We start from the raw sequence: 13,397 nt of genomic DNA, 5'->3' as shown, positions 1-13,397 counted from the left end.
TCTGTTGAAAACTTTTGTGGAAAAGCTCTTTAGTTTATTTGGTCCCATTTGTCAACTTTTGTTTTTGTGGCAATTGCTTTTGGAGTCTTTGTCATGAGACCTTTGTCAGGGCCTTTGTCCAGAATGGTATCTTCTATGTTTTCTTCTAGGATTTTTATAGTTTTAGGTCTTAAACTTAAGTCTTTATCTTGACTTGAGTTTTGTATATGGTGAAAGGAAGGGGTTCAGTTTCAATCTTCTGCATATGGATAGTCAGTTATCACACCATTGACTGAATAGGGAATCCTTTCCCCATTGCTTGTTTTTGTCGACTTCATTGATGAACAGATGGTTGTAGAGGTATGGCATTATTTCTCAGTGCTCTAGCCTATTCTATTGGTCTACCTTTCTGTCTTTGTACCAGTACCATGCTGTTTTGGTTACTGTGTTCTCGTAGTATGGTTCAAAGTCAGATAGTGTGATGCCTACAGCTTTGTTCATTTTGCTTTGGATTGCTTTGGTTATTCAAACTCTTTTTTTTTGTTCCATATGAATTTTAGAATAGTTTTCTCTAATTCTATAAAAAATGTCTTTGGTAGTTTGATAGGAACAGGATTCAGTCTGTAAATTGCTTTGGGTGTATGGCCATTTAAACAATATTGATTCTTCATATCCATGAGCATGGAATGTTTTTGCATTTGTTTGTGGTCATCTCTGCTTTCTTTCATCATTGCTTTGTAGTTCTCATTGTAGAACTCTTGCCTCCCTAGCTAGCTATATTCTTAGGTATTTTATTATTTTGTGTTTATTGCGAATGAGATTACATTCTTGATTTGGCTCTCAGCTTTAACGATGTCAGCGTATAGAAATGCTACTGATTTTTGTACATTGATTTTGTATCCTGAAACTTTGCTAAAATTGTTTACCAGATCAAGGAGCTTTTGGGCTACAACTACAGGGATTTGTATGTATAAGATCATATTGTATGTGAAGAGAGATATTTTGACTTCCTCTCTTCCTATTTTGTGGCCTTTTCTTTCTTTTGTCTAATTACTCTGGCTAGGACTTTGAGTACTATGCTTAATAGAATTGGTGAGTGTGGACATCCTTGTCTTGCCTGGTTCTCAAGGGGACTGCTTCCAGGTTTTGTGTATTCAGTATGATCTTGGCTTGGGTTTGTCAATAGATAGCTCTCATTATTTTGAGGTATGCTCCTTCGATGCCTAGTTTGTTGAGGGTTTGTAATATGAACGATGTTGAATTTTATTAAAAGCCTTTTCTCTGTCTATTGGGTTGATAATGTGTTTTTTGTTTTTAGTCTGGTTTTTCTTTTTTTAAAATTTTTTTCTCTGCCAGGTTTTGGTATTAGAATGAATCTAGTCTTGTAGAATGAGTTAGGAGTCTCCCTGCCTCAATTTTCTGGAATAATTTCAGTAGGATTGGTACAAGCTCTTCTTTACATGTCTGGTAGAATTTAGCTGTGAATCCATGTGGCCCAGGGATTTTTCTAGTTGACTGGCTTTTTATTACTGATTCAGTTTGGAAACTTGTTATTGGTTTATACAGGGTTTCAATTTATTTCTGATTCAATATTGGGAGTTTGAATGTTTACAAGAATTATCTATTTCTTCCAGGTTTTCTAGTTTCTGCGCATAGAGGCGTTTGTAATAGTCTCTGAGTGTTTTTTGTATTTCTGTGTTGTTGGTGGTAATGTCACCTTTGTCATTTCTAATTGCATTTATTTGAATCCGCTCTCTTTTTTTCTTTATTAGTTTAAGAAAGTCTATCCATCTAATGTGTTCTTTCAAATTACCAATCTTTGGTTTTGTTGATATGTATCTTTTTTACATCTCAATTTCACTCAGTTCAGCTTTGAATTGGTTACTTCTTCTTTTCTGCTAGCTTTGGGTTTTGTTTGCTCTTCTTTTTCTAGTTCCAATAGGTTTGAGGTTAGGTTGTTAATTTGAGATCTCTCAAACTTTGTGATGTGGGGATTTAGTGCTATAAGTTTCCTTCTTAACATGTGTTTAGCTGTGTCCCAGAGATTCTGGTATGTTATATCTTTGTTTTCACTAGTTTGAAAGGTTTTCTTGATTTCTGCCTTAATTTCTTTATTTATCCGGAAGTCATTCAAGAGAAGGTTGTTTAATTTCCATGTAATTTTATGATTTTGGGAGATCTTCTTCATATTGATCTCTCTTTTATTGTGTTGTGGTCCAGGAGTGTGGTTGGTTTACTTTCTTTCTTTCTTTCTTTTTGAATTTGCTGAGGATTGTTTTATGGCTGATGTGTGGTCAATTTGAGAGCATGTGTCATGTGCAGAGGAGAATAACGTATATTCTGCTGTTGTTGGGTGGAGTGTTCCTTAGATATCTGTTAGGTCCATTTGGTCAAGTGTTGAGTTTAGTTCCTGAACATCTTTGTTAGTTTTCTGTGTCTATAATCTGTCTAACACTGCCAGTGGGGTGTTGAATTCTCCAACTATCATTGTATGATTTATCTAAGTCTCTTTGTAGATTTCTAAGAACTCGTTGTATGAATCTTCGTGCTCCAGTGTTGGGTGCATATATATTTAAGATAGTTAAATCTTATTGAATTGAACCCTGGATCATTATGTAATTCTCCTTTTGCCTTTTTTGATCACTGTTGGTTTAACATCTGTTTTATCTGAAATTAGAATTGCATCCCTTGCTCTTTTTTTGTTTTCCATTTGCTTGTTAGATTTTTCTTTATCCTTTCACTTTGAGCCTATAGGTGTCACTGCATGTGAGTGTCTCTGGAAGTCAGTATACAATTGGGTGTATTTTTTTTTTTAATCCAACTTGTCACTCTGTGTCTTTTAAGTGTGATGTTTTACATTTAAGGTTAATATTAATATGTAAGGATATTAAGAGGCTTGCTCTTAATCCTCTCCTTTTTCAATAAAATGGGAGAAAATGTATTTTTATTGTTCCAAGTAGCATTCTTTCCTTTCCCATATCATTTCCAATATTTGGATTTAAATCTGTCCATTGATATTCTCTGTCATAGCAAAAGCTTCATTCAGGTAGTTACCTTGACTTATTCTGTTATTCATGATCTAGTATCATTTGTGCATACCACATTTTAAGATTAATACTTTATATATGTGTATAACATGGATAATATTTAACTTAAAGATCCATGACAACATTTATCTTTAAGATCTGGGGTGGATTAAAATGAGAAAGACTTCTCACAGGCATTTCCACTTAGTCATGCTTTAGGAACTTATAGTAAGTAAGTATAATGAAACTCCAGACAAATAGGGATTTGGATTGATATGGGCACTGCAGTATTTCCAGGGAAGAATGGAATCTGGCATAGGTAGTGCCTCACTAAATGTATCATAAATGGAAGAATGTATGATTGAATGAACAAATAAGTGAACTCTTTATGTTGTATTCTATTTGCTCACTAACCCTTCCTCTGGCTTTACTACCCTGAAAGAGACCCACAGAATAATAAATGGGAAGGAATGAACTAGTTTTGGTTACTCCTATTACACAGTTAGAATGAGTTCAATGCAAAATCTTTACAATAGTTAATACTTTGTGCCTCTGCCTCCATTGAGTAAAATATCTGTGTCTCATCCTTTTGGCAACAGCATATTCCCCTTCAATGTTAACCCAAACAATATTGAAGCCCATTAAAAATGATAGTGAGGTGATACAGCCCATAACCATACCTGTGTTTCTTTCCTTTTTTTACCTTATGGACACTGCTACTGCTAAGTATTGATGACAAGTTATGTCTTCCCTACATCCCATATCTAGCTCCCATCCAGCTCACCTCCAGGGTTAGGGTGTCTCTGGCATTCTTCATTCCACTCCTGTGTGCAGCTTTTCTAAGTTCCTTTAAGCCTTCCTCTGGTTTATTGTTGATAATGAGCCACCGAGCAGACTCTAGCAGCCAACTGACCAAGGAAGAGAACAGAGGGGCAGTCGACTTTCACTTCCTCATTTCTTACATTAGTTTTTTCTTAAGATGTCTTCTCCCTCCAAGCTAATATCCACCACTTGTTTGGTTTTACCAGGAAATGTAAACTCACATTCTCTTTGACTATAACTAGAAAAATGTGAGATGACTCCTCCATCCAGTACATATTCACTGTTGGGAATGCAGACTTGGAATCATACTGGCTCCTCTCTTACTTGGCAAATTTACCTTGGAGCTCCTGACACTGCAGCATGAAGGACCGTCACTTGTACAGATAGATCCCTGCCAAGGTCCTAGTGAGGTCATGACTTATGTCTATTCTTAATGTGTTCTTTTCCCTAAAATAAAGTCCCTCAAATAATTTATGCATGCTTAAGGCCTCATACAACTAGAATCACTCCTGGTCATATCATCTGTGAATAAACTGGACATATTAACAAGTTACTTACCTAAATATTCCTCAGTGTTCTCATCTATGTAATGGAGAGAATATTACCTTGTAGGGCTGTTATGGAGATAAGATAAATGAATGGATGAGCCTGACAGGGAGTTTGCTTACTTTTCTATCTGAACTCTTCTCTCTGTATTAAATCTGTAATCATCTCTCTAAGGTAAAGTCCAAATAGATGTCTTTCACTGAACTGGCTTTTTTAAGGGGAGAGTATAGTTAACCGACTATAAGTATTTGCAAAGCTGATAGAAGGAAGATGGAATACTGACAAATGAGGTAAATTATCCATTTTGCCTTAATATTTTAATTGAAGAAACCATGCAGCTCTTTCTTTAGATAGTTATGAAAGTAAATTTGCTACACCTTCTTTTCATCCAATATCACCTATAATAATTAAGAAAAAAAATCCCAAACTTCTCCATCATGTATTTTTTTCCAAGGATATATATAAAAACATAGACTACCATGGAAGATAGCTCCTCAAATGTTTTCCTGTATTGGGGAAAACATTTTTGTAATAATTCTGTTTCCATAATACTTGTTAAGGCGAGGATATCCAAGGACACTAAGAAGTCTCAGGCAATGATTCATTGCTATTCCCCATGTCATGGGTTGCTGGTTTTAGCAAATGAAAACACAGTGGCATGGATGCATTTGAATTTCTATTAAGCAGGAAAATGTTTTAGTATAAGCATGTCTCATGCAATATTTTGGACATAATTATATTAAAAATTATTCATCCCTTATCTGAAATTTGAATTTAATGGGACTTCCTATGTTTTATTCATTTAAATAAAAGAACTCTCAGGTGAATGAAATTTCATATAAACAATAAATGATCTTGAGTAAATTATGTCTCTTACAATATTTGAGATATAATTTTAGAGAAATATTTGTTGGTTACCTTATGTTGAAATTTCATTGATTGCCCTCAGTTTTATCAGGAAACTCTATGTGTTCTGCTTCTTGTATTGCACATCAAGCACAGATTATGAGAGGACGTGCTCTCAGGTTTACACAAAGAACAAAAAGAAATTCAGGTGTCCTAGTTCCACATACATTCTCATTCCAATATCTCATTAAGACAAAAGAAGAAACAAACTCATACCTTGAGGTCAGAAAGATCACAAAGTATGGTACAGACACCACCAGCTGGAGGATATGCCAGTCTCGAATGGCAAAAGCCAGGCCTGCCAGGGTCATAAATGCAATACCAGAAGGGCACATTCCCAATGTAATTCCCATGGCCTGGAATCTGTGTGTTGCCCACTCGGCTACTGGAAGAAAAAACAGATAAGGCTTTGACTTCAAAGGTGGAGTTTCAATTTCAAAGTCACAGTTTGGAAAATGTGGATCCAAAGTGTTGGCTTACTTAACATAATAGTATTTGTTATGAGGCTCATTGCAGCAATCCCAGACAAGAAGCGTAGTGAGCAGTAAATGAGGAAGGTGGGAGCCAAGGCTGCACAGGTGCCAACAATGGCAACCTGGAGGTAACACCATCTGAGCACGAACCTTCTCCCAAACCTGAGAAACAGAAACAGGTTAGATAATGGGAACAATAACAACAAGTGGAAAAACTTAGCAAAGAGAAGGCACACTTTGAAACTTAAAAGATGTTTAACAAGTGAAACTTTGCATTTGAAGCCTTAAAGAATCAGTAATCAATGGCAGATCTCAGACACAATGTTCCCTGTTTCTAAATAAATACCAAGTAGATCAAAGCTTATTTTCCAATCTCTTAGCAGTATATTTTTGACACCAATTGAAACCACATAAGACAGGGTGGAATATTGGACATTTTAAAGTATCAGAAGTCCCTTGTACTAACACACAGCGTACTAATAACACAATGTGTCTCCCATGTACTTTAGCATAGTAGAGAGCCTGAGCAGGGCATAGCCTATAAGACATCTAAATCTAGATGTAGAAGTCTAGGACAGTGCAGGCTATGGGTATACTGATGTGAAAGGAACATCCATAGAACAATACATCAAAGTTGTTGAAGTGTTGCAGGGGAGGGCAAAAAAAAAAAGAAAAAAAAAAAGGAAAAAAAAGAAAAAGGGAATTTAGTGTTTTACTGTTTTCTGGGAAAGGAGTCCTCTCTGTAGACAACTGGAACAATATAGCCTGTGGTGAGGCAGGATTTCAGCTCTCACCAATGTCATTGGCATTGTATCAAAGGTTTTAGCTACTGCTAGAAAGAGATTAAAAGGAAAAAGTAGAACATTAGTGATTTGAACTATTCCACCTTGCAGATGATATGATCAAGTTGGGAAATTTTAAGGAATCCATAAATAGCTACTAGAACTAATAAATTTATCCTGTTGGCAGGATGTAAGTTTACTATGAAAAAGTTAATTATCTTTACATATATGTACATAATTTACATGTAAATTATCTTTACATATGAATTAGAAATAAATTAATAAAAAGTACATGACTTTTATCATAAACTATAAAATATTGCAAAGGGAAATTAAACAAAAGTCTACCTTAATTAAAAGCAATATTATATTTATAGATCAGAAAATTCAGTATTTAAAAAATGTCAGTCTTACCCAAACTGCTGTTTAGATTTAATGCAATTCCAATAGAAATCTAAAGGAAATTAGATTTCTCCCTTTTCTCACATCATAATGTAGTTCCTTGTTTTTGACTTTTACATTGGTGGAACACTATAGTATGTAATCTTTTTGTTGGTCTTGTGGTACCTAACCAAATGGTTTTGATGTTAATTCACCTTATTGCAGACAGTACTTTATTCATTCCCTTTGCTGTAAAAATTCATTATGTGAATATCTGCTTATTTATTAACCTATTATTAATGAAATTATAGATTATTTCCGATTTTAAGATATCATAAACAGTTGAGTGAGTTATTCCAAAACAATCAGTTTGATCATAGCCTACTCTGCATATAATCACATAATATTTCCTCTTAGGTTTGTGAGAAATACCAAAATCCTTAGGTTATCTTGTCCCTTCGTCTTTAGCTGATTCTCCACTGTCATCTCCTGCCTGGCATCTCCTACCCCTTCTTTTACCACCCTGTGATCTATTAAAATTGGTCTATCTGCATTTTCCCAGGACAGTATCACAGAGGACTGGGTGACTAACTATTGGAAATTAACCCTCTGACTCTTAGCTCATTCTACATTCCATTTCCTGTCGTACATTCAAGGTTCAAATTTTCAGGTGAGACACCAGAAGACATGATGTTGGTGGATGGCAAGTGGCACTTCAAGTCCCTCATCGCCATCAGGGGAGACATGGTTGGGTGAAGGTAATTGTTCCCTGCCATGTCAGGAGACATACAGCAAGGTGAATACCCCAAACTTCTCACACCACAGACTGAGATAGTATTATCCTTGGATTACTTACCTCACATGGTTCTAAAAAGCTGTTTTTGCAAAGACAATAATCAAGTTTCTACACATAATTTTTCAACACACCACCAATGATACCTTCAAATATACCCTACAGGTTTTAGAGGAATGCGTGTTCATCACACTTGGAACTATGATGTAATGACAATTCTCTGGGCACAAGCTATCAGCTCACAGTGTCCAGGTAGGACTGGACCTGGTACTCCTGGCCAAGGCTGAATCCTATGTGATGAAACGTCTTCCTTTCTATTCCCTTAGTTAACTCTTTCTCATATTTCTAAACCACATGTTGTGGTACCTTCTCTCTAAAACCTGTCTTGAAACACCCCCAGTTCACATGGAGATATCATTTCTGTGTCCTGCATACAGAGCTCAAATTTTAAAAATAGCACTCAAAACACGGACTAAAAATTTCCTTTTCTGTTTGGGGATCAGGGCAGCCTCAGGAGAATGTAATTTGCAGTAAGTAATTCTAGATGAAATAATGTTTCATAAGTTGATAAAAAATGCCCTTAAAGAGAGCTGTGTTCCATACACACTCACCTGTCTGATAAATGACCGCCTAGGATGCCTCCCACCATCATTCCAGCCATGAATACAAATTTAGCCACTGAAGTCAGTGATTGAGAGTCACATACCAGATCCCACTGGAAGAGAAGGAAGCCAGCACATCAATGCTTATTACCCCTCAGTGTAACTTGATCAAAACTTCTTAGCATGATCTGCAAGTTTCCTAATATTAAGTCTCTAACTTCCTCTGTGGCTTCCTTTCTCAGCATTACCTGACCTTTGTTATTCAGGTCTCAACTTAAACATAACTTTCTCTTGGAAGACTTTCCTAAACCTATAGGTTTTTATTTCATACTAAATGGTTCTCAAACATGACCACATGGTGCAATCACTTGAAGACCTTTAAAAACTTTTAGAAACCTAAATTTCCCTCTTAGACCTTCTCATATGATTGTTTTAGGGTATACTCTGGGCATGGAGGCTTTTCTCAATTTCCCAGATATTTCTAATTTGCAATGACAGGCTGAGCATCACTGACCTAGCAGAACATTTTAACATATTATATATAAATGCTTGTTTAAACTTTGGTCTCCCTGTGACTTAAAGCATTATAATAGCAGGATGCCTTCTACTTTGGAATTCATTACTCAAAATGTGTAGGTGTCAGACATTTAATAAAGAAGCAATTAGTATTTGCTGAAAGAATGAAGACTAAGGACCTACATGTGACTGAAGGCTGGAAGCATGATTATTACTTGTGTTATTCTAAACACCCAGGTCACATACTCATGAGACGAGAACAGAGCCTCTTACCTCAGTCACGATGGTGGATGAGAAGGAGATTCTGTCATACACCCAGCCATCCACACAGGGCTCCATGTCTGCGTCACTTGTGTTGGGGAAGGTCCCATTCAGGTGAAGGAGCTGCCACTGAGGATGAACAAAGCGACGACACTTCTCTGGCCTCATGTTTGAGTCCAGTGGGATGGAGATTCTCAAGAGTGCATCTTGGCTGAGGGCCCCAGTGTCATTGTCAGAGACAGTGTCATTGTCCAGGATGTGGACCCAGCAGCGATGGCCAGGTATGAATGCAGTGAAGTTCTCCAGCATAAAATGAAGGTATGTAGCAACAGCAAAGATTGAGAGAAAAACAGTCTGAAGGATCTGGAATCTCCACAGGTCACCAGCGTGACCCAGGAGGTCCTGAAAGGCCATTGAGGTTGAACAGTTGATCCTCAAGTAGAGGCAAAATGACTGTATCCAGAGAGGTTCAAAGAGGGAAAATGTTTTCTTTCCCTAAGTCACACTAAATGTGTTTTGATCCTGACCCCACTCTCTTCTTGACGACTGTGCTTCCCCTCTGCAGCAGGACCGTGGAAACAGTTTCCTCAAGTCGTTTTGGGGTCAGATAGGTAGCCGTTTTCTCTAAAGTCACGTAAGAAATAATTTGCTCAGATACTCCCAGTCGTTTACAATGAAATGTGTTTAAAATTCTACTTTTTCATGTCTTTAGTAGCTCCCAAAGTCAGCACTGGACTTTGGTCTACACTTTTCTGTAAACAAACTAAAATAAACCTGCTACATGGTATGCGGTCATTCCAGGAAGCATAATTTTGGCGACTCAAAGGTGAGGTGCTTTTTTTACTTCTCTGAAAACAACAGAAGGCAAGTTTTTCCTTGTTAAGTACCAATTTTTGATTAAGAGTTAATCTAAAAAAGTCGAAGTTAAACTAAAATAAGGGTACTGTGGTACAATCCTTTCATTTTGGTGACTGATGTTCTCCTTCATGTCAAATCACACCACAAATTCATGCTGGAAATACATTGCTTGAAATGTGGACAGAATAGATGGTGATGAAAAGCAGAGGAGTAAGCTCATATGGAGGTTTACTTTTACTGGCTTATTGATTTTTCAGATAGTATTTGTGAAGACCTTTTCCATGCTAGTTCCTAAAGTAACGTGTGTGACAAGTTCAAGGATCTTATAGTTGAGTAAGTAAGAGAGAGTACATAAACAATTGCACTCCAACATTATAAATATTATGTGAGATGCACTATGTGCTGTGGAAGAATTGGAGGCAAAATATGGGAGAAAATGTCACCTTGATTAGGACTAAAATTTCTATTAAAATTTAAACCTCCTTGAAGTATAATTCATTTACCATACAATTTACCCTTTTAAAGTATACAATTGAATGTGTTTTGATCATTCAAAGAGTTGTGCAATCATCACTACTATATCGTTACAGAGCATTTTAATCACCACATAGGAAACCATACCCATTAGCAGTAACTCTCCATTTTTATTCACACATCCCACTTAGCAACCGCTAATTTACTTTCTGATTCTAAGGATTTGCCTATTGTGGACATTTGATTTATACATTGAATCATAAAATACTTGACTTTGTATATCTGGCTTAATTCATTTAACATAATGTTTCTTTTTCTTTTTTTTAAATTATACTTCAAGTTTTAGGGTACATGTACACAACGTGCAGGTTTGTTACATATGTATACATGTGCCATATTGGTGTGCTGCACCCATTAACTCATCATTTAGCATTAGGTATATCTCCTAATGCTATCCCTCCCCCCTACCCCCACCTAACAACAGTCCCTGGTGTGTGATGTTCCCCTTCCTGTGTCCATGTGTTCTCATTGTTCAATTCCCACCTATGAGTGAGAACATGTGGTGTTTGGTTTTTTGTCCTTGCGATAGGTTGCTGAGAATGATGGTTTCCAGCTTCATCCATGTCCCTACAAAGGATGTGAACTCATCATTTTTTATGGCTGCATAGTATTCCATGGTATATATGTGCCACATTTTCTTTTTTTTAAAATTATACTTTAAGTTTTAGGGTACATGTGCACAACGTGCAGATTAGTTACATATGTATACATGTGCCATGTTGGTGTGCTGCACCCATTAATTCGTCATTTAACATTAGGTATATCTCCTAATGCTATCCCTCCCCTGTCTCCCCACCCCACAACTGGCCCCGGTGTGTGATGTTCCCCTTCCTGTGTCCATGTGTTCTCATTGTTCAATTCCAACCTATGAGTGAGAACATGCGGTGTTTGGTTTTTTGTCCTTGCAATAGTTTGCTGAGAATAATGGTTTCCAGCTTCATCCATGTCCCTACAAATGACACGAACTCATCCTTTTTTATGGCTGCATAGTATTCCATGGTGTATATGTGCCACATTTTCTTAATCCAGTCTATCATTGTTGGACATTTGGGTTGGTTCCAAGTCTTTGCTATTGTAAATAGTGCTGCAATAAGCATACATGTGCATGTGTTTTTATAGCAACATGATTTATAATCCTTTGGGTATATATTCAGTAATGGGATGGCTGGGACAAATGGTATTTCTAGTTCTAGATCCCTGAGGAATCACCACACTGACTTCCACAGTGGTTGAACTAGTTTACAGTCCCACCAACAGTGTAAAAGTGTTCCTATTTCTCCACATCCTCTCCAGCACCTATTGTTTCCTGACTTCTTAATGATGGCCATTCTAACTGGTGTGAGATGGTATCTCACTGTGGTTTTGATTTGCATTTCTCTGACGGCCAGTGATGATGAGCATTTTTTTCATGTGTCTTTTGGCTGCATAAATGTCTTCTTTTGAGAAGTGTCTGTTCATATCCTTCACCCACTTGTTGATGGGGTTATTTGTTTTTTTCTTGTAAATTTGTTTGAGTTCATTGTAGATTCTGGATATTAACCCTTTGTCAGATGAGTAGGTTGTGAAAATTTTCTCCCATTCTGTAGGTTGCCTGTTCACTCTGATGGTAATTTCTTTTGCTGTGCAGAAGCTCTTTAGTTTAATTAGATCCCATTTGTCAATTTTGGCTTTTGTTGCCATTGCTTTTGGTGTTTTAGACATGAAGTCCTTGCCCATGCGTATGTCCTGAATGGTATTGCCTAGGTTTTCTTCTAGGGTTTTTAAGGTTTTAGGTCTGACATGTAAGTCTTTAATCCATCTTGAATTGATTTTTGTATAAGGTGTAAGGAAGGGATCCAGTTTCAGCTTTCTACATATGGCTAGCCAGTTTTCCTAGCACCGTTTATTAAATAGGGAATCCTTTCCCCATTTCTTGTTTTTGTCAGGTTTGTCAAAGATCGGATAGTTGTAGATATGTGGCATTATTTCTGAGGGCTCTGTTCTGTTCCATTGGTCTATATCTCTGTTTTGGTACCAGTACCATGCTGTTTTGGTTACTGTAGCCTTGTAGTATAGTTTGAAGTCAGGTAACGTGTTGCCTCCAGCTTTGTTCTTTTGGCTTAGGATTGACTTGGCAATGCGGGCTCCTTTTTGGTTCCATATGAACTTTAAAGTAGTTTTTTCCAATTGTGTGAAGAAAGGCATTGGTAGCCTGATGGGGATGGCATGGAATCTGTAAATTACCTTGGGCAGTATGGCCATTTTCACGATGTTGATTTTTCCTACCCATGAGCATGGAATGTTCTTCCATTTCTTTGTATCCTCTTTGATTTCATTGAGCAGTGGTTTGTAGTTCTCCTTGAAGAGGTCCTCCACATCCCTTGTAAGTTGGATTCCTAGTATTTTATTCTCTTTGAAGCAATTGTGAATGGGGGTTCACTCATGATTTGGCTCTCTGTTTGTCTGTTATTGGTGTATAAGAATCCTTGTGATTTTTGCACATTGATTTTGTATCCTGAGACTTTGCTGAAGTTGCTTATCAGCTTCAGAAGATTTTGGGCTGAGGTGATGGGGTTTTCTAGATATAAAATCATGTCATCTGCAAACAGGGCAATTTGACTTCCTCTTTTCCTAATTGAATACCCTTTATTTCCTTCTCCTGCCTGATTGCCCTGGCCAGAACTTCCAACACTATGTTGAATAGGAGTGGTGAGAGAGGGCATCCCTGTCGTGTGTCAGTTTTCAAAGAGAATGCTTCCAGTTTTTGCCCATTCAGTATGATATTGGCTGTGGGTCTGTCACAGATAGCTCTTATTATTTTGAGACATGTCCCATCAACACGTAATTTATTGAGAGTTTTTAGCATGTAGGGCTGTTGAATTTTGTCAAATGCCTTTTCTGCATCTATTGAGATAATCATGTGGTTTTTGTCTTTGGTT

At 37.0% G+C, this 13,397-nt stretch overlaps 1 protein-coding gene across 3 annotated transcripts in view; it reads right to left on the bottom strand.

Annotated features, from left to right (window-relative positions):
- Positions 1-9,773, bottom strand: part of SLC22A9 (solute carrier family 22 member 9) — a 40,510-nt gene extending 30,737 nt beyond the window's left edge. For 2 of the 3 annotated variants that reach the window (NM_080866.3, XM_017017159.3), the window contains exons 1-5: positions 9,100-9,773; positions 8,320-8,423; positions 5,760-5,914; positions 5,496-5,664; positions 3,790-3,913 (exon numbers count right to left, since the gene is read on the bottom strand). In NM_080866.3, coding sequence (NP_543142.2) covers positions 3,790-3,913; positions 5,496-5,664; positions 5,760-5,914; positions 8,320-8,423; positions 9,100-9,501 — 954 coding nt within the window. In that variant the 5' untranslated portion in view covers positions 9,502-9,773. Of the gene's footprint in view, positions 1-3,789; positions 3,914-5,495; positions 5,665-5,759; positions 5,915-8,319; positions 8,424-9,099 lie in introns of those variants that run through there. The other variant, XM_047426335.1, reaches the window with a different exon arrangement.
- Between the last annotated feature and the right edge of the window lie 3,624 nt (positions 9,774-13,397).

The sequence above is a fragment of the Homo sapiens genome, chromosome 11 (genome assembly GCF_000001405.40).
Source record: "Homo sapiens chromosome 11, GRCh38.p14 Primary Assembly".
Lineage (NCBI taxonomy): Eukaryota > Metazoa > Chordata > Mammalia > Primates > Hominidae > Homo > Homo sapiens.
Note: the sequence above shows the minus strand (reverse complement) of the source record. Positions and strands in the feature narration are given on the sequence as shown.